This window comes from Homo sapiens, chromosome 22, assembly GCF_000001405.40.
Source record: "Homo sapiens chromosome 22, GRCh38.p14 Primary Assembly".
NCBI lineage: Eukaryota > Metazoa > Chordata > Mammalia > Primates > Hominidae > Homo > Homo sapiens.
This window is the reverse complement of record NC_000022.11, coordinates 43,661,459-43,685,667: the sequence shown is the minus strand read 5'-3', so window position 1 is coordinate 43,685,667 and position 24,209 is coordinate 43,661,459. Positions and strand designations below refer to the sequence as shown.

The 24,209-nt window shown below is 41.0% G+C and overlaps 1 protein-coding gene across 23 annotated transcripts in view; it reads left to right on the top strand.

Annotated features, from left to right (window-relative positions):
- The window catches only part of EFCAB6 (EF-hand calcium binding domain 6), a 283,528-nt gene that overhangs the window by 126,638 nt on the left and 132,681 nt on the right, over nt 1-24,209 (top strand). For 22 of the 23 annotated variants that reach the window (XR_007067980.1, XM_047441462.1, XM_011530319.4 and 19 more), the window contains 6 exons: nt 1,813-1,921; nt 7,505-7,672; nt 13,363-13,422; nt 13,535-13,695; nt 16,623-16,796; nt 18,396-18,564. Coding sequence is in view for 21 of the 23 variants with exons in the window: in XM_047441462.1 (XP_047297418.1) it covers nt 1,813-1,921; nt 7,505-7,672; nt 13,363-13,422; nt 13,535-13,695; nt 16,623-16,796; nt 18,396-18,564 (841 nt within the window). In the remaining 2 variants the exon portion in view is untranslated. Of the gene's footprint in view, nt 1-1,812; nt 1,922-7,504; nt 7,673-13,362; nt 13,423-13,534; nt 13,696-16,622; nt 16,797-18,395; nt 18,565-24,209 lie in introns of those variants that run through there. The other variant, XM_047441464.1, reaches the window with a different exon arrangement.

Below are 24,209 nucleotides of genomic sequence, written 5' to 3'. Positions count from 1 at the left end.
ATCAATCAAAATCCGCGATGGGTCACCACTGCCTGTACAGTTGCCCAAAGAGCCAAGATCTTGAGAAATTTTATCTTTTACAAATGCAGTGAACAAAAATGACGTCTCTTCATATACTGAGCGAGTTTCAGTGTTTGTACACAACACACACAATGCTCACACACTAAGGCAACGTTGTGATAATGCATTTTTGTGGAGTCAAATTTCCGATGTCCAAGGCAGCGGCAGAAAATGTCCCAGCTCCGAGGGAGAGCTGTGTTCTCTCTGGGCTCCCAGCTGATTGGATGGTGCTCGCCAACACTGAGGGCAAATCTTCCCCCCGCACCCTTCCTGCCCCCACAGACCCACACACTAATCTCCAGAAACGCCCTCGCAGGCACGCCCAACACAGTGCTTTACCAGGTTTCTAGGTGTGCCTTCATCCAGTCAAGTTGACACCTGAAATTAAGTCCACAAATCTGCTCTCGGCAACTTGGTACCCAGAGGCATCTCCTTAAACCAAACTTAATTTCCAAATAACGACAATAGCAAGGTTGTAGTTCCACCTAACATGATGCAACTATGCTGTGTACAACTGAAAACACACAAATCCCTTGCCTAGAATTTGGCTTTGGGGTTTTAATCTTTCGAGATTGTGCTTTTTGCGATTTTAGGCATTAGGGGCTTTAGAATTTAGAGATTTTGATCTTTTGGGAGTTCAACATTTGGGATTATGGCATTTGGGATTGCATCTTTCAGGATTAAGATCCAAACCTGCACTGATCTAGTGGGCGGAGGCCAGGGATGCTGCTCAACACTCTGCAGTGAGTCCCCACAGCAAAGAGCTCTCCAGCCCCTAGGTCAGGGGTACCCGGTGGATAAAATCTGCTGTAAAAAGCATCTCTTCATGCCAGTGCTGGCCGTCTATAGAAAAAGAAGGTTCTAACAAGTCATGTGAGGAGCTTAGACTCAGGAAGCCAGCATATGTTTCTGAAAAGTGGTGGTAGGCGTAGGCTTATTGTTTCTGCACAAACGGAAGAAGCTAAGATGGCTGTATAGACGCAGCAACAAAAACTCCCAAACAAATCTTAGAATGGTTCCGCAGGTAAACTGACTGTCATTCATTGTTTCATGGGAAAGGTAGGATGGTCTAGTAGAACATCAGAAAAGAGAAGCACCCAATGGTATATTGTGATGAGATTCTGACAGTCTCCCTTTCTGAGCCAAGTCCACATTGAACTTGGTTTTGGTCTCCAGAGGGGGTAGTCCTGGCCTTCAGGAGCACACATGTACACTGACGGGCCCCGAGCTCAGGGATGAAAGAGGCCATAGAGGGAAAGGGGGTCTGACAACGTAGGGCATCATGGTCATTGTCAACAGAAAGGGAGAGGCTGAGAAGTCTGCTGTCCTTGCAGTTCTAAATAGGGAATTTGTGCCCTCAGTTATCATGTGGATGAGACAGCTACAATGTGCTGCACACACAGGAGGGGGGGCTCCCAGCTTCCCAGCCACTGAGGTCTCAGCACTGGTCCATGGTCCCTTTATTGGTCTTGTTTGAGACCAAAACCACAGGTGTGCAAGATGGCCGATGAGTTGGTCTCGTGGGGAGAGGAGATGGTCCAGCAAGGCTCACCCTGCATTCGTGGCATCTCTCTGATCACAGTAACTGAGGTTCAGATGAGCCCCACAAGTGCAGCACACTGTCAGGAAAAAGAGCCACGCACAGAGAAAGCTCTACTGTATTGTGGTGAGGGTGCTTGTTTCTTGCATTAAGAAAAGAACAAAGTTCAAGAACATAATCTTATTCCTGCTTTTCTCCTAATCCTCTTGTAGCATCAACTCTAGAAATGAATCTCACAAGGAAAACATCATCACAAAGTTATTTAGACACACTGAAGATCACTCTGCGTCACTGAAGAAAGCATTACTGATAATCAACACTGTAAGATTTTGAAAGCCTTCTCTTGTGAAACACTCATTGTTTCTAAGAATGCAAACACTCAGAACAAGACCAATAACAACTCCATATTCGTTCATTTATCCATCCAACAAACACTTCTTGAGCCCCCGTTACATGCTGGGAATTATTCTGAGCACTTAGGGATAGAAGCCCCGAGCTCAAGGGTTGAGTCTAGTTGGGAAGACGGACGATGGAAAATTAATTGCAATACAGTAACATAGGTGCCAGTTGTGATGGGAACAATGTGTGGCAAGGTCGTAATAGTTGCAGTGACTGATCATCATTCACTGTTTAATTAACAAACAACCCAGACCTGGTGACCCTTCCCCACCCTAACCTAGAGTTGATCAGTTCATAACCAACTTATTGCCCAAAACAGGGGCATTTTCTTAGTGCCAAAATAGCCTACTTAATTTTTTAATTGTACTACAAAGAGAGGCTAATTCATGAATTTGCAACCTGCTTTTTCTCACATTCACCATTAGCTCCTGTCTGACTTTAATATTGTTTTAGAAAGCAGCATTTGGATCCTTTTGATACGCAGCAACATTTACTAAGCACATTCGGTAATTGAAGCTCTAGTAAACAGTGAGGAGCAGGGTGAATTACTGTTTCTGAGACTCACACAGGACTGTGTACAGATGATTTCAGAGGCCAAAGGTGTCCCTTAGCTCAGCATCAGCCTCCTAGAACCTGCCGTGGAGGGAGTGTCTGGGAGTGGAGGGTGGTGCCCCAGGGAGAAGCCAGCACTGCCTGGGGGTGGCTTCCAGGTTTGTGGTTTGCTGTCTGTGGAGACCCCAGCGCCTGCCTCTGCCGCACTAGAATGCTATTGCATGGGATTTCCGAGCACAGTGTGGATTCAGGAACATGGGGTTCTTTGAATGAATCTTTACACCTATGTGACTTGGTCTCTCTGAATGAACAATAATGTTGAGTGCTTACTATGTGCCAGGCACCGTCTTAAATGATTCGGCGATATATACACTCACTAAATCCTCTTGACACCTTGGTGAGGCAAACATGATTATGATCTCCATCTGACAGATGAGGAAAGGAGGCCTCTGTGCTAAGTAACCCGCCTGAGGCTACCCAGATAGTGGTTTTGGAGGCCACCAGACTCTAGAGCAGCCACACTCCAGCACTGGTCAGGGCTGCCCAGGACCCTGCTGGCTGAGCCGCGTGGGAAAAGATAAACGAGGCCTTTGTGTGTTACCCACCCCCACTCAGGTTCTAATAGTATGCTGAAGAAGTAATTTAATTAAAAATAGGGAAACCTTCATTTCCTTTAATGGAGGACTATACAATAATGCTAATCACTCCAACTATTAGACTGTTTAAAAGTCATTGTTGTGCTATTCAACTTGAGATCAATAAACAGACAGTGTAGGTTAAGAATTGAGTACGTAGTCCATGCTGGGCCCCCGTGCTGGGCACTTAGGCTAAGCACACAAATGATTAATGCTAAGTCCTTGCCGATAAGCTCACACTCTAGGGTATCACATCATGGCATTAACAATCAGATGCCTTACAGTTACATAGTGCATGGTTTCAGAGTGAGATTCCCCTCCCCTCCCATCCCCCCACCATGCACCCCACTACGGAGGGGACTAGGTAAGAAGGAGAATAAGGGTGGGAGCCAGGAGTGGGCAGGGCTGGGCGTTTTGCCTGGCTGCTCAGGGCAGTCATGGGAAACAAATCTCTCTCCTGCTATAGAGAGGGATGCAGAATGTTTAAAAGACTGCTTTAGATCCACGCCAAGGCATGCATCCCATTTGCTATATGTGCTGCCTCCAGATGCTGCCACCAACTCTGCAAGTGGACCCAACTGCTGTGATCACTTACATTTAAATCAGGTGTGGCTTACTTCCTCTCAGTCATCCAGAAGGAATTTGCATCCTGCCTTTTTACCTAGTCTTGATATTGTTATTTGTAGCTGACATGATTTAGTTAATAGAAAGTCCAACAGAATCTTCCCAGAAAACATTAGAATTAATAATAGGATTTAGAAGGTCATGGGATACAAAGTCAATACACAAAGACCAACAGTATTTCTATAAACTGCAATAAACTATTAGAAAAAGATGAATTTTTAAAATATTATTTCTAATAACATTTTAAAAAATCAAATACATAGAAATATGTCTTACAAAAACATGCAAATTCTCCACATTGAAGACTACAATGATTGCTTAGAAATAATGCCATTCCTTCACAAACTTTCAGAAAATACAGGAGGAAGGAACACTTCCAGACTCATTCTCTGAGGCCAGTATTACCCTGATACCAAAACCAAGCAAAGGCATCACAAGAAAAGAACCACAGGCCAATATCCTTTGTGACTATAGTTGCAAAAATTCTCAACAAAATATTAGCAAACCGAATCCAGCAACACATGGCAAGGCTTAAGTGCTGTGACCACATGGGATTTATCCCAGGATTGCAAAGTTGGTTTAACTTCCCCCAAAATCAATGTCATATGCAACATTAGTAGAGTGAGGAACAGAACTACATGATTATCTCAATAGATGCAAAAACAGTATTTGAAAAATCCAACACCTGTTTATGATAATAACTTTCCACAAATTAGAACAGAAGAGAAATACCTTCACCTGATAAAGGGAATTTACAACAAACCCATAGCCAGCAGCACAGTTAATGGTAAAAGACTGAACTCCTTCCTCCTAAGATCAGGGACAGCACGAGAATGTCAGCTCTCACTGCTTCTAGTCAACACTGTGCTAGAGTTCTGGACAGTCCAATCGAGAAAGAAAAAGAAATAAAAGGCATCAAGATTGAAAAGGAAGAAGTAAAACTGTCTTTGTACACAGACGATACAATCTTGTGTGTAGAAAATTCTAAGGAATTTGTGCATGTGTGCATTCACACATACTGCTAGAACTAATAAATGAATTTATAAGGTTGCAGAAATATAAGATTAACATACAAAAATCAGTTATATTTCTATAAACTAGCTATGAGCAATCTGAAAAGGAACTTCTGAAAGCAATTCCATTTACAATAGCATCAAAAAGAATAAAATACCTAGGAATAAATTTATCAAAAGAAGTGCCAGATTTTTATACTGAAAATTACAAAACATTGTTAAAGGAAAGTAAAGAATATGTAAATAAAATACATTCCATATTTATAGATCGGAGACAATATTATTAAGATGACAGTTCTCTCCAAATTGCTTTATAGATTCAGTGCAAACCCTATCAACATCCCAGCTGGCTTTTTTTTTTCTTTTTTTTTGCTTTTGAAAAGCTGTCTGAAAATTCATATGGAAATACAAAGGTGGAAGAACAGCCAAAATAATCTTGGAAAAGAAGAACAAAGTTAGAATACTTACACTTCCAGAATTTGAATCTTAGTGCAAAGCTATAGTAGTAAAGACTGTGTGATACTGGTTTGAAGACCTACATACAGATCAATGGAACAGAGTTGAGAGTTCAAAAATAAACCCTTACATTTATGGTCCATTTATTTTTGACAAATTCAGTGGGGGAAAGGAAAATATCTGTTAAAATGTTAAGAGGACAATTGGATATCCATATGCAAAAAGATGAATTCAGTCCCTTACCTCTTACACCATACACAAATAGATCTAAATATAAAAGCTAAACTCATAAAACTCTTAGAAGAAAAACATATATAAATCTTTGTGACCTTGTGTTAGGCAAACATTTCTTAATGACACCAAAGTATAACCCATAAAAGAAACAAATTGATACATTGGACTTTATCAAAATTAAATTTCATGCTTCAAAAGATACCTTTAAGAAAGTGAAAAGACAAGCCACAGACTGGGAGAAGATATATGCAAATCATATATCTGGTAAAGGACTTGTATCTAGAACATACAAGTACTTTTACAACTCAATAAGAAGACAACCTAATTTTTTAAATGGGTAAAATATATTAATAGACATTTTACCCAAGAAGATCTGTGAACAGCCAATACAATCTTTTATGAACCCGTGAAAAGATACTTGACAGTATTGATCACTAGAGAAACTCAAAGCCACGAGATACCACTTCTCACCCTCTAGGATGGCTATAATCAAAAAGACAAACAATAATAAGTGTTGACAAGGATATGTGGAGATACTGGAACTCTCATATACTGCTAGTGAAAATGCAAAATGGCACAGCCACTGTGGAAAACAGCATGGCCGTTTCTATAAAAATTAAATGTGACTTATAGAACCCAGCAATTCCACTCCTAAGTATCTGCCCAAGAGAAATAAAAACATGTCCACACAAAGACTTGTGAACAAATGTTCATAACAACATTATTCACAATTTCCAAACTGGAAACAATCCAAATGTCCACCAACTTGTAACAAAATAAACAAAATCTGGCAATGTAATGCCCGATTGGGAATAAAAAGGAGCAAAATACTGATATATGCTACAACATGGATGAGCCTCAAAAACACTATGTTAGGAGAAAGAAGCCAGATGCAGGAAACCATGTATTTATGATTCTATTTACATGAAATATCCAGAAAAAGGCAAATATCTAGAGACAGAAAATGGAGTCATTGCCTTAGGCTGGGGCAAGAAATGGGGAGAGACTGCAAATGTGCACGAGATTTCTTCTGGGGGTGCTGAAACTATTCTAGAATTAGATCCTTGTGATGGTTACACAATGCTTTAAATGTATTAAAGTAACTTAAAGTTTAGCTGTCAGTGATTTCTCTTTAGGCATTAAAGAATTGATTATGACTCTCAAAAGGTAAGCATGCATATATCCCCTAAAGTACTTAATTTACCCCTCAAGAGAACCTTATATTCTTTTCAGATTTTGGACCCCCAAATAATAGTTGACATTTGCACACTGCTTTATTGCTTACTTAATAAATCCTTTTGTCACGTTAATATTCACTGTCTCCGTATGAGGTAAAGGTTCTTTATTTACCCTGTCTTTCCAATAAACAGTATCTCTCAATTTTGGTGTTCAGTCTACTTATTGATAAATTTTTATTCTGGGGGAAGAAATTTTTTCTCACGGTATTTTGCTCATAATATGTTTTCTTTATGCAGCATGGCTGAAATTTTTCTAGCAAAGTAGTTGTCCATTTATGTAATGGATGAGACTGTTGGTGGAGAAAACACTCATAATTTATTCTTACTAAATTGGCAAACTAATTGAACTGCTGGGAAGTTTTGTGCCCCATGTGGTTGAACCCCCAGCTCTCAGGTGGGGTAGGGAAGTGAGGAGCTGTTCAAGCCATTCAAGCCCCTGGGGAAGGGAGTCAACCTGAGCTTGAGAAATGGGCCTCATTGCTCACCCAAAGCCATGTCCTGATAGAGAACATTGTAGGAACTGCACCTGGAAAGTTCTAGCATTCAGCCTACACACACACACACACACACACACACACACACACACAGTGCTCATGTTATGTAAGGATCATCAGTCGATGTATTTGCATTTCCAATCATAATTCTATTTGGCCAAAGCTCGCTCTTTATTAAATGATGCTAAACATACATAACACTTTTTCTTCCTTTTTTTTTTTTTTTCAAAAATTCCCTTATATACACTCTGATGCTCAGAAACCCGATGGACCGATAACAAGAGAAGAATTTCGATATATTCTAAATTGCATGGCTGTAAAACTAAGCGATTCAGAATTCAAAGAACTAATGCAAATGCTTGACCCTGGGGACACTGGAGTGGTCAACACCAGCATGTTTATTGATCTGATTGAAGAGAACTGTAGGGTGAGTTTTGTAACAACTTCCTGTTTGGTTTTCTCTTTATGTTGGGAAATTTCAGTATTCCTAATAAGAGATGCAAGTGAAATATGGTTTAAATAAATTAACGACTTTACAGTTTTCAACTCAATCATTTTAAGTGAGGGTCAAGTGTTTAAGCACTTTGATTTTAACTTTTAGTTTCTGAATCTTAAAAAAGGATGGTAATTGACGTTTCTGAAAACCCATCCCTGAACGAGAGCCCTTTATATACAGGATGTAACTGGCGCCACCTCAACAGCACTCCTCTTGCAGCCATGTCTTATTTATTTATTTATTTTTGTTGTTCTTGTTTTTTTCTTGAGATGGAGTCTCTCTCCGTCGAGTCTCTCTCTGTTGCCCAGGCTGGAGTGCAGTGGCATGATCTCGGCTCACTGCAGCCTCCACCTTCCAGGTTCAAGCAATTCTCCTGCCTCAGCCTCCCAAGTAGCTGGGACTACAGGCACGTGCTGCTACGCCCGGGTAATTTTTGTGTTTTTAGTAGAGACAGGGTTTCACCATGTTGGCCAGGCTGGTCTTGATCTCCTGACCTCGTGATCCACTTGCCTCGGCCTCCCAAAGTGCTGGGATTACAGGCGTGAGCCACCGCGCCTGGCCACAGCCATGTCTTTGAAAGGAGTATTTGTGAGTGACTACTCTGGTTCTCATTCATGTTTTTAGAGTTTCGTACCCTATGTTGGTTCAACTTTAAAAAAATAACTGCTTATTGCCTCTAGTGACTAGCATTTGCCTTTAGCATTTGCTTCTTTTGACTGAAAAGTTGACACTTTTATTATTAGAAATGTTTCTATAACTTTAATAGCTATTAGCATTTAAAAAATTTTAAGAACTTTATCAATTTCAGATAGTGCATGCAATAGGTTTTAACAGATTCTTGTTGAAATGTTTTTTAAAAAGCTGCTTTTAACAGGTACAAATTAGCTTTTAATTTTAGATTTATGACGTTGGCATCCCTATGAATCAAAATCAAACCAGTAATATCACGAGATGCACTATTTCCCTAAAGGTGATGTTTCTACTGAATGGATCTGAATGGGGTGCCTTGCTTTAGGGAAAGCTTTAAGATGGTTTAGCTGAAGCCAGCTGCATTCTATTCTGATGGTTTCTGTGCAAAATGCAATTTATTCATCATCAATAAATCCTTTCCATCTGTCGTGGTTTTTGATCATGGTCTTGGGAAGAGTTTATGGCATACTTCTTGGTTTAAAATGGGACAGTTTATTGGAGCGAAAGTGTCATATTTAAATTACCTCCTCTTGGTACATGTAGACATTTTCTACCAACATTCTGGAGGTAATTTTAATAGGCCATAGTACATAACTTATTCAAATGTTTTGTGATTACACAAGTAACAGAAATTCATTGTAGATTAGAAAATATGCCAAACTACAAAGGTGAAAATAATGATAAAAATCCCAAATCCCAACACTCAGCGATAGTTACACAGTTAAAATTTTGATAAATTTTCTTCCACTCTTTGTATGTGGGTGGGCACATTTTTTTGTTTACATGGTTGAACTCATTCTTTTTTTTTTTTTTTTTTTGAGACGGAGTCTTGCTCTGTCGCCCAGGCTGGAGTGCAGTGGCATGATCTCGGCTCACTGCAACCTCCCTGCCTCCTGGGTTCAAGCAATTCTCCTGCCTCAGCCTCCCAAGTAGCTGGGACTATAGGCGCCTACCACCACACCCGGCTAATTTTTTGTATGTTTAGTAGAGACGGGGTTTCACCATGTTAGCCAGGATGGTCTCGATCTCCTGACCTTGTGATCTGCCCACCTCGGCCTCCCAAGGTGCTGGGATTACAGGCTTGAGCCACCGCGCCTGGCCTGAACTCATTTTTGTATGACTTTGTATATTCCATTTTTTCAGCTTCACGTTATATGATGAGCCTTTCCCCCTCACCCCACATCATTAAAAACTCATCATAAATAAGATTTTCAGTGGTATCTAAGAGTGTTCTGCGCATGTCCTTGTCACTGGGGCAGTTAGGCTGTTTCTCTACTTACTTATATTATGCTGGACATCTTTGTGCACAGATCTCCATTCATATCTAAATATTTCCTTAGAATAGATTTTAGAAGTAGAAATACTGGCCCAAAACATGTGGGCATTTTTATGTTGCTGGATATATATATATCCAGACATATTGTATATAGAGTTATATTATATTATAATATATAATTACATCATACATTACATATTATTATATTTTTACAATTACATTAATTAATTACATCTTGGTACCTGCTTTTTTGCATCACTTTATGATTATTTAGTATCTATTTCTAGAAATGGAATTATTATATATTATACTTTATATAACAATAATTGAATTATTATGTATAATATATTATATATCAGATATATAGTATAATTATCATATAAATATACTATATCTGGATATATATAGACATTTGTACACTGATTTATTGCTTACTTAATAAATCCTATATTATATTAAATCCTATATTATATAATATTACATATTATATTATATATTATATCATATATTATACTATATTATAATCCTATATTATATTATATATTATAAATCCTATATTATATTATATATTATAGTATAATATAGTATATTATATTATATATTATAGTATAATATAGTATATTATATTATATATTATAGTATAATATACTATAATATATAATTATGCTATATAATAATTATATTATAGCATAATATATTATATACACATAATATATAATAACATAGTTATATATACATAGTTATATGATATATATTATATATTACAAATTAGCTATATTATATATTAACTATATTACTATATTATAATTTAGTTATAATATATATAAAATTCCTTTATGCATTCTTAAGGCCTTGTGATCTATTTTGCTAGACAGTGCGTTGGAATAGGCTGACAGTTGGTGTTGGCTGTACCCCGTACCCGTCCTGCATAGGTAGTAGATGCGTGTGTGAACCTGTGTACCCAGGCCATGTATGTGTCTTGTGGAAGCCTGAGTGTATGCCTTGACTCAGTTTACTGCCAGTGCTTCAGAGTCAGATCAAGCCTAGTGGCCACGGAATCAAGTGAGCAGCCAGCCAGGGTAGGAGCTTGTGCACCTGCGGTCGACTCTTGCCTCCACCCCTTATTAGCTGTGACCTGGTGCAAATAATTTACCTCTCTAAGACTCATTTCTTTACCTGTAAAACCAGGTTGATTATGGTACCACCTTGTAAGGTTGTTAAGGGAATTTAACAGGATAATGCGCATAAAATGTTAAGAATCCGTTTTCTTTAAAAACAAAACGTAGACACGTAAGCAATCCCTTCTCTACGTGGCAAGTGGTGTGATCTTTGTCTAGTATAAAACAGATCATGCCTGTCTTCATGCCTTCACCTTTCCAGTGGCTTTCTGGGAAGGCCTCCTTATCCAGTTCCTCAGGCTCCCTGGCTGCCCCTCCCAGGCCTTGGCCTGTGCTGCATCTGCTACCTGGGATTCCTTCCAGTTCCTCGTGACCCAGGTTACCATCTCCAGAGCTCAGCACCCCCGGAGCCTGCGCAGGGACCCTCCCAGTCTCAGAGTCACATTTGTGGCCTGATGTGGTCCTGTCTCCACAAAGGCAGAGACCTTTCTGTTATCACTGCCCATTGTACTATAGGGGATAGGCAGTGTCAGCCACACTCACACAATCTATTGAATGAATGAATAAACATGAATGAAGGAATTGGAAAAATTAGAAAACATAGATGTGCAATAGGCGAAAATAAAAGTCACCACTAATTCTAACACCAAAGCATTGTTATTTGCTGTTATACTTTGCTGTATATTCTTCCAAATCCACATACATGCATACCCATACTTCTGTTTTTTAAAAACAGCTTTATTGAGGTGTAATTGATATTCAAAAACTGTACATATTTAATATATGCAGTTTGATGAGTTTGGACACACACTTCTGTAGATTGTAGCTATTTTATTTAAAAGCAAGACCATACAATGACTTTTTTTTTTTTTTTTTGAGACGGAGTCTTGCTGTGTCACCCAGGCTGGAGTGCAGTGGCGCGATCTCGGCTCACTGCAAGCTCTGCCTCCCAGGTTCACGCCACATATAATGACGTTTTAGTCTATATTGTCACTTATTAACATACTGTTAACACTTAACGTCAATAAAAGTTCTGCTATCTAATTTTATTTTATTTATTTTAGAGACAGAGTCTCACTCTATTGCTCAGGCTGGAGTGCAGTGACATGACCTCGGCTCACTGCAACCTCAGCCTCCTGGGTTCAAATGATTCTCCTGCGACAGCCTCCCGAGTAGCTGGGATTATAGGCGCACACCACCACACCCAGCTAATTTTTGTATTTTTAGTAGAGACGGGGTTGGTTTCACCATGTTGGCCAGGCTAGTCTCGAACTCCTGACCTCAGGTGTTCCGCCCACTTTGGCCTCCCAAAGTGTTGGGATTACAGGCTTGAGCCACTGTGCCTGGCCTGCTATCTAATTTTAAAATATACTAAATAACTGTTATAATTTGGATGTTCATTTATTTTTTATTTTTAAAATTTTGCTGCAGTGAACATCTTGGCACTTGCTTTTTTGTATTACTCTATGTAATTATTTCTTTAGTTATAAATTTTAAGAAATGGAATTATTGGGTCAAAGAATATGTTTTATTCTATTACTATTTTAATAATTTTTAAAGAGAATGATATGTATAAAGTACAGAATGCAAAGGACACAAGAGGGGATGGAGTGAAAGGAAGTTTTTTTTTCTCCACCAGTCCCTAGCTACCGGTTCTCTTCCCCAGCGGCAGCCTTCCTTGCTGTAGAGTCTGTAAATTATCAAATTGTCAAATAGTATCCAAATGTACCTTGAGACAAAAATACCTTCCAGAAAGTTAGATCAGTTTACACTCCCACCATTTCTGAAACCCCCACCTGTGCAGGTAATTTGCTTACTTTTGCGTTTTCGCCATTCTGATAGGCAAAAATACCATCTCGTTATTCTTCTACTTTGCATTTATTTAATTTCTAGGTGATGGGTTTTTTTGTGTGTTTATTGTACTTTTCCTTAAGTGAAAGTTAAATGCTATTTTTTTTTAACTTTTATTTTAAGTTCAGGGGTACAAATGCGGGTTTGTTACACAGGTAAACTTGTGTCATGGGGGTTTATTGTACAGATTATTTCATCACCCAAGTATTAAGCCTAGTACCCATTAGTTATTATATTTTTCCTGATCCTCTCTCTCCTCCCAACCTCCATCCTCATTCTCCTGAGGGTGAAAATTCTCTTGTTCTCCGATAGGCCCCAGTGTGCATTGTTCTCCTCTATGTGTCCATGAGTTCTCATCATTTAGCTCCCACTTATGAGTGAGAACCTGTGGTATTTGGTTTTCTGTTCCTGTGTTAGCTTGCTAAGGATAATGGCCTCCAGCTCCGTCTATGTCCCTGCAAAAGACATGATCTCATTCTTTTTATGTCTGCATAGTATTTCAAGTTAAGTGTTATAATCCTTACTTTCAGATGGGTATTAGAGGGCAAGCTCCGTTGTTCAAGGTCTCAAAGCTAATGGCTAATTAGGGACAGAGCTAGGATTCCAGTCCAGGTCCACCTGCCTCCAAAGCTCCTAATGACTTTCATGAGTGGTATTTATTTATATACTTTCTCTTTCCCAATTAGATGAGAAAGACATCTCCCTGTACAGATGCTAAGACACCTTTCCTCCTGGCCTGGGATTCAGTAAGTAACACTTGCCTTCTTTGTGTGGATGCCTTCCTATATGGTTTGAGGTTACTGTTACAAGAGGTTACAGATGTATGGCTTAGGAAATATGTTTGTTTTTTAATGTTAGGTGGAAGAAATTGTTCATGATACAATTACTAGGAACCTACAAGCTTTTTATAACATGCTACGCTCATATGACCTTGGAGACACAGGGCGCATTGGCCGAAATAATTTCAAGAAAATCATGCACGTCTTCTGTCCATTTTTAACGAATGCACATTTCATAAAGTAAGTTTTTTGTAACAAAATTAATTCATGTCGTGTTTTTCATCAGGCCTGTTCCATAATTCTAAACCTTTTCTGTGTGTTTTTGAAATATTAATAGGTAGTATTGATAATAACTGCTATTTGCTGAATCCTTGCTTAGCACTGGACATTGCTTAAGAGTTTGACATGCATTATATGATATAGTCCTTATCACAGCCATGTAAGGTAGCTAACATTATTCCTTTCTATGGACAAAGAAACAGAGGTCTGGAGAAGTTAAATACTCACTCCAACTCACACAGCTGGTGAGTTGTGAGGCCTGAGTTCCCTCCTGGGTCTCTATGATTCCTGAGCTCTCTTTTTCCTTCATTTCTTGCAAGCAAATATCTCTCCTTTGCTTTTTAGTAATATCTTGTATTGTTCAAGAAGCAAAGATTTCATCTCAACTCTTGTGGAACTGAGACATTTTGTGCGTGTGAGTTGCAACAGTTAAATATGTTGCATTCTGATAGAGCAAGAGTTTCATGTCGTTTTAAAACCACAATTATCAAATATTGATAACTGAGCAAATAATGATACACAATCAACTCATGGAGAAACCCCATCTCTACTAAAAATACAAAATTAAGCCAGGCATGGTGGCACCTGCTTGTAATCCCAGCTACTTGGGAGGCTGAGGCAGGAGAATCACTTGAACCCGGGAGGCGGAGGTTGCAGTGAGCCGAGATTGCCCCATCGCACTCCAGCCTGGGCAACTAGAGCAAAACTCCATCTCAAAACAAAAAACAAAAAACAAAAACAGAAGCCATCCAACCAAACAAACAAAAAAACCACTTTGCAGTCCCACTGCCATTAGGAACCATGCAGATGGTTCACAGGCCCTCCACCAGCCTCTCACCTCTCAGGAGCTGAGACTGTGCAGCTGGGCTGCCTGGGTTGAATCAGCTCCAAACCTGGGCAAGTGACTTAACCTCTCTGAGCCTCTATTTCTTCATCCAGATATTTCTTACTAGAGTTGTGATAAGGATCAAATGAGATCTTATACACAAAGCCTTACTACCTCAGGGCCAAGCATATGGTGAGGTCTCAGCCAGTGTTTGTTGCTGCCGCTGCTGCTGCTGCTGCTGCTGGTCTCAGCTCCAGCTATGTTGACCTGCTTTCCACTCCTTGAAAACGCTGGGCCCTCTCTTGCCCCTGGACTTTCAGACCATCTTTCCTTCTGTTCCAAGTGAACAGTCTCTCCCAGCTGACCAAAGTTCAGTGAGGTAGGCGTTGTTCTGGTTTGTTCACAGTTGTGGCAACAGTAGTTAGCACAGTGCTTCATACGTAGCCACATGAATATTTATGGGAGCGATTATAATACTAGTGAGCACTTATTGAGCAAAGTATGGCTTCAGAGCTCATGCTCAGCCCCCAGCTATATGCAGATCCTCATAACGACACCATAGTACTGTTATTACAGCTGCGATTTATTAAGCACATATACACAGAGCATGTCAGCCCCAGTGCTAACAGCTTTATGTGGATTCTCCCACTTGATCATTACAGCAGTCCTTGGTACTTTTATTATCTGCATTTCATAGATAAGGAAACTGAGGCAGAGCAAAGGTAGGGAATGTGCCCTGGGTCAGTGGTTCTCAGCACTTTTGGTCTCGGGACACTTTTATACTCTGAAGAATTGACAACCCCAAAGGTGTTTCTCATATGGAGTATGTCATTATGTACTGTATCAGAAATTAAAACTGAGACATTTTTAAAGTGTCATTGCAGAAACAAGTGTACTTGCTGTGCTTTCATATAGGCTCAGGGAAAACTTTGGAGTTTCAAAATAGTGGTTTGTTGGACGATAATGAGGTTACAGCAGTTATAGCAAGTGTAACTGAAGGTCTCTAGCAGAGAGCCTGGTAGAAAGGCTATAAAGAAACTGAGTTAATCACTGAAAACCTACCCCTAGTCCCTCATTTACACCCTAAGCCTACAACCTTAAAAATGTTAGAAAGCACAATCTACACAAGAATACATTTTATTTGTGGTCAGAGTGAGGACATGATCACACATGTTGCCTCTGATGGACTCGACTCTACATGCATAAAAGAATCGAGTGAAGAAGGTAAATCACACCTCAGTGTTAACAGAAAACTAGTTCTGGCCTCGCCGATGCTCTGGAAGTGTCCTCAGACCACACTTTGTGAGCCCCTGCCTTCAGTCATATAATTTTTTATAATTCTTTTTTTACATTTACTGTATCTGCATTGTGGTATACTTTATATACAATACTCTGCACACATTTAAATGATACAATATGATGAAATTCATCATATGTCAATATCCATAAAACCATCACAAGATATCAATCAAGATATCAAATATTTTCGCCACCCCAAAAATCTTCCATATGCCCTTTAGCAATTCATCATCACTCCCTCCTCCCACCTCCACGAAACCACTGATAGCTCTCTTTCATGATAGATTACTTTGTGTTTTCTAGGACTTTATGTAAATGGAAGCACACAAGATATTCTCTTTTTTGTCTGGCTTTATTCACCAAGCATAACAATTTTGTGATTCATTCATTTTGTTTTATATATACCAACAGTTCTTTCCTTTTCACTGCTGAGTAGTATTCCATTGAATGGGTTTACCATAGTTTGTGTATACATTCATCTCTTGATAGGCATATGGTTTGTTTCTAGTTTCTGGCTATTACCAATAAAGCTGTATATGTAATGTTTGGCTGTTACAAATAAAGCTGTATATATTTGTGTAGACACACATTTTCATTTCTCTTTGGTAAATGCCTAAGAATGGAGTGGTTGTACCATTTTACATTCCCACCAGCAGTGGATGAAAGTTGTAGTTACTTTCATCTTCACCAACCCTTGGCAGGGTCAGTCTTTTCCGTTTTAATTACTCTACTGAGTGTGTTTTAATTATTTTTTAAAATTCAGACTCTGCAGTAAGATTCAGGACATTGGTTCAGGAAGAATCCTTTACAAGAAACTTTTGGCATGCATAGGAATTGATGGCCCACCCACTGTCTCTCCAGTTCTTGTTCCAAAGGATCAGCTGTTAAGTGAACATTTACAAAAAGATGAACAGCAGCAGCCAGATCTTTCTGAGAGGTAAAATTAAGCAAAATGAATGCACATATCAAAACCACAGTGTCTGTCATGGAATAGGTATTTAGTAACTATTTGTCAACTGAGTATTTTAATATTTCATTTTATAAATAAGAAAGATGGCACACTAGAAAGACAGTAATTAGAGTCAGGGAATTTTAGAGCAAGCAGAGATCTTAGGAATTATTGAATTTACCTTTTAAATTTAGAAATGAAAACACTGATGTCTGAGAGGTTTGGGGACTTGGCTCACAAACTTAGTGGCTGGCCTGGGTCAAGAATCTGGGACTCCTGACTCCCAGGGACAATCTGTAACTTCTCTATTACATACCTGCATTCACATTTACTCTCTTCCAGAAACTTAGATTCCTTGCCACTATTTAATATTTATTGCAACACACATCCATTAAATCAGTTAACATTTTTTAATATGAATGATAGAATGATTAAACTGATTTCCAAATTGAATTGTAACAATAAAACATACTTAGTAAATCTATAAAAAATTAGCCTGATGAATATTCTAGCTCTTCTTCATTTTAAAAATACAGGTTTAGTTTAATGAAAAGATATTATTCTAACTTGCTCATTCATTGCTTATAATAAATTCATAATGAAAGGTAAAATGTAGAACTATTCAGCAGACTTCACTTTGTCATAGCCCTTTTAAAAAGTTCTTAAGTAAAGAGCAATGGGAATATTTTAATGATATGCTAATTAAATTTGAATACCTGGGCTTTTCAGTAGTAGCAGCTTTATAAATGGGCATAAAGATGGTATTTTAAGAGACGGGTTAAATATTCCATGATAAGATATGTTTGCTTCCTAAAACTGGTGAAAGAAGCAATGGCAATTAAACATTTCATAAAATGTAGCTTTCCCAGAGAGCTCTTAAAAATCAGGAGACGCAGCGGGGAAGGAATAGAAGTCCATTCTCCATGACTGTCTCAGGGCTGTTTTTTCCCCAAAAATATGGGGCGCAAGAGACTTCCAGAGAGCTGAGGAAATAGCTGTCCTCCGAACACCCACGCCCACATGCTCAGACACATCCACGCTGAGACTCACAGAACAGCACATTCAATTTGTATTTTATAAATCAAGCCGATTTGTGGAGTAACTGTGGACTTCCCTTCATTTCCGTGGATGTTTGATGACTTCCTTGATCTAGTTACCACAAAACAGCCTATTTCTTTCATTTAAAGCTTTCTAATGGGCTCTGACTTTTAATTTTTCCACTTCACAAAAAATATCCTTTTTCAACCCTGTGTGCCCGGTCACATGCCACCTTCGGCCAGCTCAAAGCATAACTGAAAATCTCGAGGACCATAATATTCTCTCCCTGCAAGTTCCCCTGTCCCCAGCCTGCCACTGTACATGGGCTTTCACTTGGACACTGTGCTGGGGACCTCCAGTTCTGGCCCTGGAACCTACCAGCCAGGGGAGGGTAAGAAGCCCCTGAGTCACTCCACCCTTCCCAGCTAGTGAACCGAGGATGGGAAACCTTCTTACTGTCATGGGTTACATGGAAATGGGTGCAGTCTGGAGGAAGCACCCTGCGTGTGTCAGTTGACACTGGGTCTAAATGCCTGCTTGTGATTTTAGAACCAAGCTCACGGAGGATAAAACCACCCTGACCAAGAAGATGACCACAGAAGAAGTGATTGAAAAATTCAAAAAGTGTATACAGCAGCAGGACCCGGCATTCAAAAAACGATTTCTTGACTTCAGCAAGGAGCCTAATGGAAAAATTAACGTGCATGACTTTAAGAAGGTAGGAGAATGGGTTTCTCTTTGTTTCTATCCTGCAGAAGTTCAGCTGTTTTCTTATACTAACATACTTTAAAGGACAATGGCTTATCCCAGGACGCAGCAGATCCATTTCTAGGCATCTTTCAACAATTTAAAAGGATTTTTTTTTTTGGCCAAAAAATTGTCATTGGCACATTTCTTAGAGAATACTTTCAATATGGATGTGGCCAGCTTTTGATATTTAAGCTTTTACATATCAGAAGCATTTATTGATGCGGTTTGGCTATCTGCTGCATACCTGGCACTGTGCATCATTGGGCAGCCTGCGGGTGAGAGTACAAAGCCACTCGGCCCCTGCCTGCCAGTGGAGAGTTTCCAATCACAGAGCTATGGTTTGTTCCTCTAGAATGAAAAAAAAAAAAAAAAAAAAAAAACAATCTGGCAGTGAAATATGGGAAACTCAGAGTGCTGATTTGCATGTGCTTATGGGAACTGGTGAGTTTCTGCCAGAAAGGGCTCAGCTTGAAGGGTTCTGCATAGACTTCTCAGGAATTAATTTAAATGATTGCTTAAAATTCGTATTACGATCCCTCTAGCTAATCATCCTCAGCTATTTTTAAGGAAAGCATTTCAGTTAATATGTAGCAGTGTCCATGTGGACAAATTTAGAAGAAGGCAATAAAATATATTTCCAAGAAGAGTATAATTACATTAGTGGCCCCTTCATCCGGTGCCTGCCCCACTGCCGGACATTGGAATGGGCTTTTTATGGGTCTTATTTCTAAGCCTCCAGAATGCAGCATCATGGAGGAGCATGGACTGGAGGACGGAGCAGGGCTAGAGGCACAGAAATGGGATTAGGTAGCTACTGAAATAGTCCAGACCCTCTCCCCTCCCCAGCCAGAACAAGACAAGACGTGGAGGGTCCTTTGTTGTATGAGCATATGGGGAGAGCCAGGAGAATAGATTCAAGAAGGACTCAGAAATAAGGAGTTGAGGATAGGAAATGAGGGATAGGACATAAGACATAAGGGAATAGGCTAGGTGTGGTAGCTCACGCCTGTAATCCCAGAACTTTGGGAGGCCAAGGCAGGTGGATCACGTGAGGTCAGGAGTTCAAGACCAGCCTAGCCAACGTGGCGAAACCCCATCTCTACTAAAAATACGAAAATTAGCCAGGTGTGGTCACGCACGCCTGTAATCCCAGCTATTCAGGAGGCTGAGGCAGGAGAATTGCTGGAACCCAGGAGGTGGAACTTGCAGTGAGCTGAGATCGTGCCACTGCACTCCAGCCTGGGTGACAGAGCAAGACTCAGTCTCAAAAAGAAAGAAAGAAGGGAATAAGGCAGAGGAAATGTTTTAAGTCATTCCCAGATTTCTGATTTGGGGACCAGGTGGCCGATAACCAGTCATTGATGATTTTGATTAGAGCAGTTTCAATGGAGTGAGTGGTAGCCATGGGAGCTGAATTTCAGGGGCTGAAAACTAAACGAGTGCCAATCTGACTCCATCCATCCCTGCCCGTGCAGGGCCCTTTGTCCTAGATTTTATTTCACCCTGAGCTACGTGGCACGGGTCCTTGTCCGTAATGCATAATGAGCTTGAACTCTCACAATTCTCTGCATTCTTGATTCTTAAAGTCAGTTCACAAATTCACGGGAAACTAATAATCCCTAGTCTGCCCCTGGTTTTTCAGAGTGGAAAGTGACTATCTTAGAGAAGTGGCAGTAGATGTTGGTAAGGCAGAGACTCACACCTGTGATCTGAGTCCAAGAGCAGCTCCTTACCTGGCCCATCCTTCTGTCACCTGAGAACAACTTTGGGTCATCAGCTCAGTTGCAGGTTCTTCTGGCTTCCGGTTGTACCTGCCATTGATAAACCAGCGTCTCCTGAGTTCATGTCCCAGAGCAACTCCTGAATGTCAGTCTCATGCACCTACCTGTCTACCTGCCTTCTCCATGTGGGCACAGCCAAAGAGGGGCCGCTCCGCCTACATCCTTCCTGTTCTCAGTCAAAGACAACAACCTTTTTTTCCCAGTTGCTCAGGCCTAAAATCTAGTCATCTTTACTGAGTCTCCTCTTCCTCTTGTACCCACATCCAATTCACCAACAAAGCCTGTTGGCTCCCTTCCAGATAGTTCCAGAAGAGATGACCCCACTCCACTGCTCCCCCCAGCATCTCCCATGTGATTATCACAGCATCCCCTTCACTGCCTCCCTGCTTCCACCCTGGCCATGCCACAGTTCATCGTCAACCCAGCAGCCAGAGCGACCCCTCAGTGGAACCCACCGAGGGCTCCTCAAACACAAACCAGGGCCTGAGCCTGGCCTAGGAGACCCTGCATGGTCCAACCACCTCCCTGATCTCAGCTCTGGTCATCCTCCCCTTGCTCAAGAAACTCCAGCCACATCAGCTTCCTCTCCCCTCAGACAGAGGCTGGCTCTTCCTTGGCACTGGCCATGCCCTCTGCCAAGATCGCGGCTCCTTGGGTAACTGCATGGCTCTCCCCTTGCCTCCTTCAAGTCTCTGTTCAACTGCTCTTCCTCCACCAAGGTGACCTTGACATTCCCATTGCAAATGCAGTCCACCCTCCTCACCTTCACCTCCTTCATCTTGTTTCCTGTTCACAGCACCTGTGTTGTGTATTGCATGGCACTCACCACATCTTTCATTTGTTTCTGCATTCTGTCTGTTTGCTTGCCCTCCCCTATTATAAAATATGCTCCAAAGGTTGACATTTGATCTCTTTTGTGTAGTGCTGCTCCCCAAGTGCTTTGCACATAGTAGGGCCCAGTGAGCATGTATTGAATGAATGAATGTGAAGAGTATTTGGCATCCCCAGTGCAGCCCTAAATGAATGCCACCCTGAGGACTGATGGACATGGGCATTCGCACATTTGAAGCTGGTTCCTACACCTGTCTGGGCCAGAGCCCTCCAACCCCTGTGCTCTTCTCTGCCCCATGAATTACTCTGGGTGCTGGCCGACCCCAAAGGTCAGCTCACTGAACAGCTGCTCTGCTGCTGTCTCCATGGTGGCAACCAGCATGCTCCTAGCCCTTCCTTTTGCCTATCTGCGGGCTTCTTGGAGACCTCCCTGCTGCCTGAAGGCATGCCCACAGGGAGGAGAAAGGAAAAGCAGAAACCCAGCAAGGACTTTGCCTTAGTCAGTTTGGGCAGCTTTAACAAAGTACCCTGGACTCGGTGGCTTGCAGATAATGGAAATTACTCTCTCACAATTCCGGAGGCTGGAAGTCCAGGCTCAGGTGCCAGCATGCTGGGGCTCCGGCAAGGGCCCTCTTCTGGGTGGTACACTGTAGACTTCTCACGGCAGCAAGAGGGCAAGAGAGCTCTCTGGGATCTCTTTTATACGGGCTCTAATCCCATTCACATTGGAAGTTAGGGTCTAAACATATGAATTTGGGGGAGACACAAACATTCAGTCCATAACAAACTGATATGTTGTGTTTTATCATGAAAAGTAACAATCAATTTGCTGTGAACACAGTTAGTCCAGTTTGCACTGGTTTTCCTCCTAGTGATTTGTTCGGTTTAAGCTTTGGGAAAGTCTTCTTGTGACCATCTTTGAAGATCAAGAACTGTGGGGTGATTTTCAACAGTCAGGCTACTATGGACCTGGGTTTGCACTTCATAAGCTATAAAGCATTATGTAAATATAAATTATCATCACTGGCAGAGATTGTTTATAGATCAGGGTAAATGGCTTTTTTCTACTACTGGTGAAATCAGAGCTAGAAATATCATGGGCTTATGCAGTAGAAAGAAAGGATTTAGGTTAGACCGGATGTAAGGCTCCCAGATGATAAAGGCTTGGGAATGTTAAATTTCAGTGTTGTGGAAGCCTTTGAAATTGACTTCTCAAGAGAGCTCTAAGTATAATGGACAATAGTAATTTTGTAATGGCAATAACAGCGATAGTAATTACAATGATGATGAGTGTCATTGCTGGAATAATAACGATGACGGTGATGTGATAGCTGCACCTACCATGGACTGAGCCCCTCCAATATTCAGGCATGTGGAATTTGCTTTACATATGTTATTTCTGCTCCTCACAGGAAGCCTGTAGGTATAGAGTATACACATTTCACAAACAAGGAGACCAAAGCTTAGGACCTGTGATACTGGCTCAGTGTTGTTCAGCTGTTAAGCTGTTCAAGAACTTGGACTTGAATTCATGTCTGTCTGTGTCAGACTCAGACCCTTGCTGGGTGTCATGTGGGCCTGGCAGGTGTGAGATAGGCTTGCTGGATGTGAACAGGCTTCCAGGATGTACCGCAGGCTTGCTGCATGTAGTAGAGGCTTACCAGGTGTAATTCTGGAGTAATTCTGGCTTGGTGGGTAGACTAGGTTTGCTGAGTAATTGATGGCCGTGTGTTTCAAGGTAGTAGCTGGCCTCAGAGTTTAGTGAGAAGGACATTAATTTTAATTACAATGCTTTTTAATTCTTCCTGTCCTTTTGGTCATGGATATACAATGTTCTTGCCCTCCTCTTCCCCTACATCTTGTGTGTAACCCCAATTAGTATAGCAAAATGGTTGTGAAGGTTTGTCCCTGAGGAGGTGGGAGTGAAGGTCTGTGTCACAAACTTCAGGTTGCCTGCCTGAGCATGCATGCTGTTGTTCATCATTTAAACAGAGGCTGCACTTAGATGTTGGCTGGTAACCTCATACTGGAAATTGGAAGTGCCAATTATTTATTCCCACCAGCCATCTCCTTCCCTGTGCCATGGCAGAGGGTGGCTGCCTACCCCGGATCAATGAGGGAGAATGGCAGAAATAGAGTCTGCAGGTGGATGGGGCCCTGTGGGTCCCCAGATCCAAGTCCCTGCATTGTTGCTGCTGAGATCACTGTCATAAGTCCTCACCATTGTGGCCAGAAAGATTCTGTCTACTCTATAAATTATTATTATTATTATTATTATTATTATTATTATTATTATTATTTTGAAATGGAGTCTCACTCTGTCACCCAGGCTGGAGTGCAGTGGCGCGATCTCGGCTCACTGCAACCTCTGCCTCCTGGGTTCAAGCAATTCTATCTCAGCTTCCTGAGTAGCTGGGACTACAGGCACCTGGCTAATTTTTATATTTTCAGTAGACAAGTTTTCACCATATTGGTTAACCACGCCTGGCTAATTTTTGTATTTTTAGTAGAGACTGGTTTTCACCATATTGGTCAGGCTGGTCGCGAACTCCTGACCTCAGGTGATCCACCCGCCTCGGCCTCCCAGAGTGCTGGGATTACAGGCATGCCGCCACGCCCAGCCAACTCTATGAACTATATTTATTAACTATCAATAAGACTTTGTCTTCTCCCCTCTTTCCTGTTTAATATAAGACATAGCAGAGCTTCTGATTCATGTGAATTACCAGGAAGGACAGCATGCTGAGTGGACGCATGCCTCCTGGTGGAGGCAGAGCTCACTAGGGGTGAATGAAGGCCATGTGCTTTCCATGGTTGGATGTGTGATATCTACTGTGAGGAGGGGAAGGAGAAGGGCGCTATTCTTTCTGGAATTGTCTAGACCTGTTCTGGGTAGTTGCAATCATTTCTCACAGCAACCCTGTGATGCGGATTCCCTCTCCCAGGAAACCCTGTCTCCGTTCGTTGCTCTGACCATTCACCTCATGGTCTGTCCTTTGAC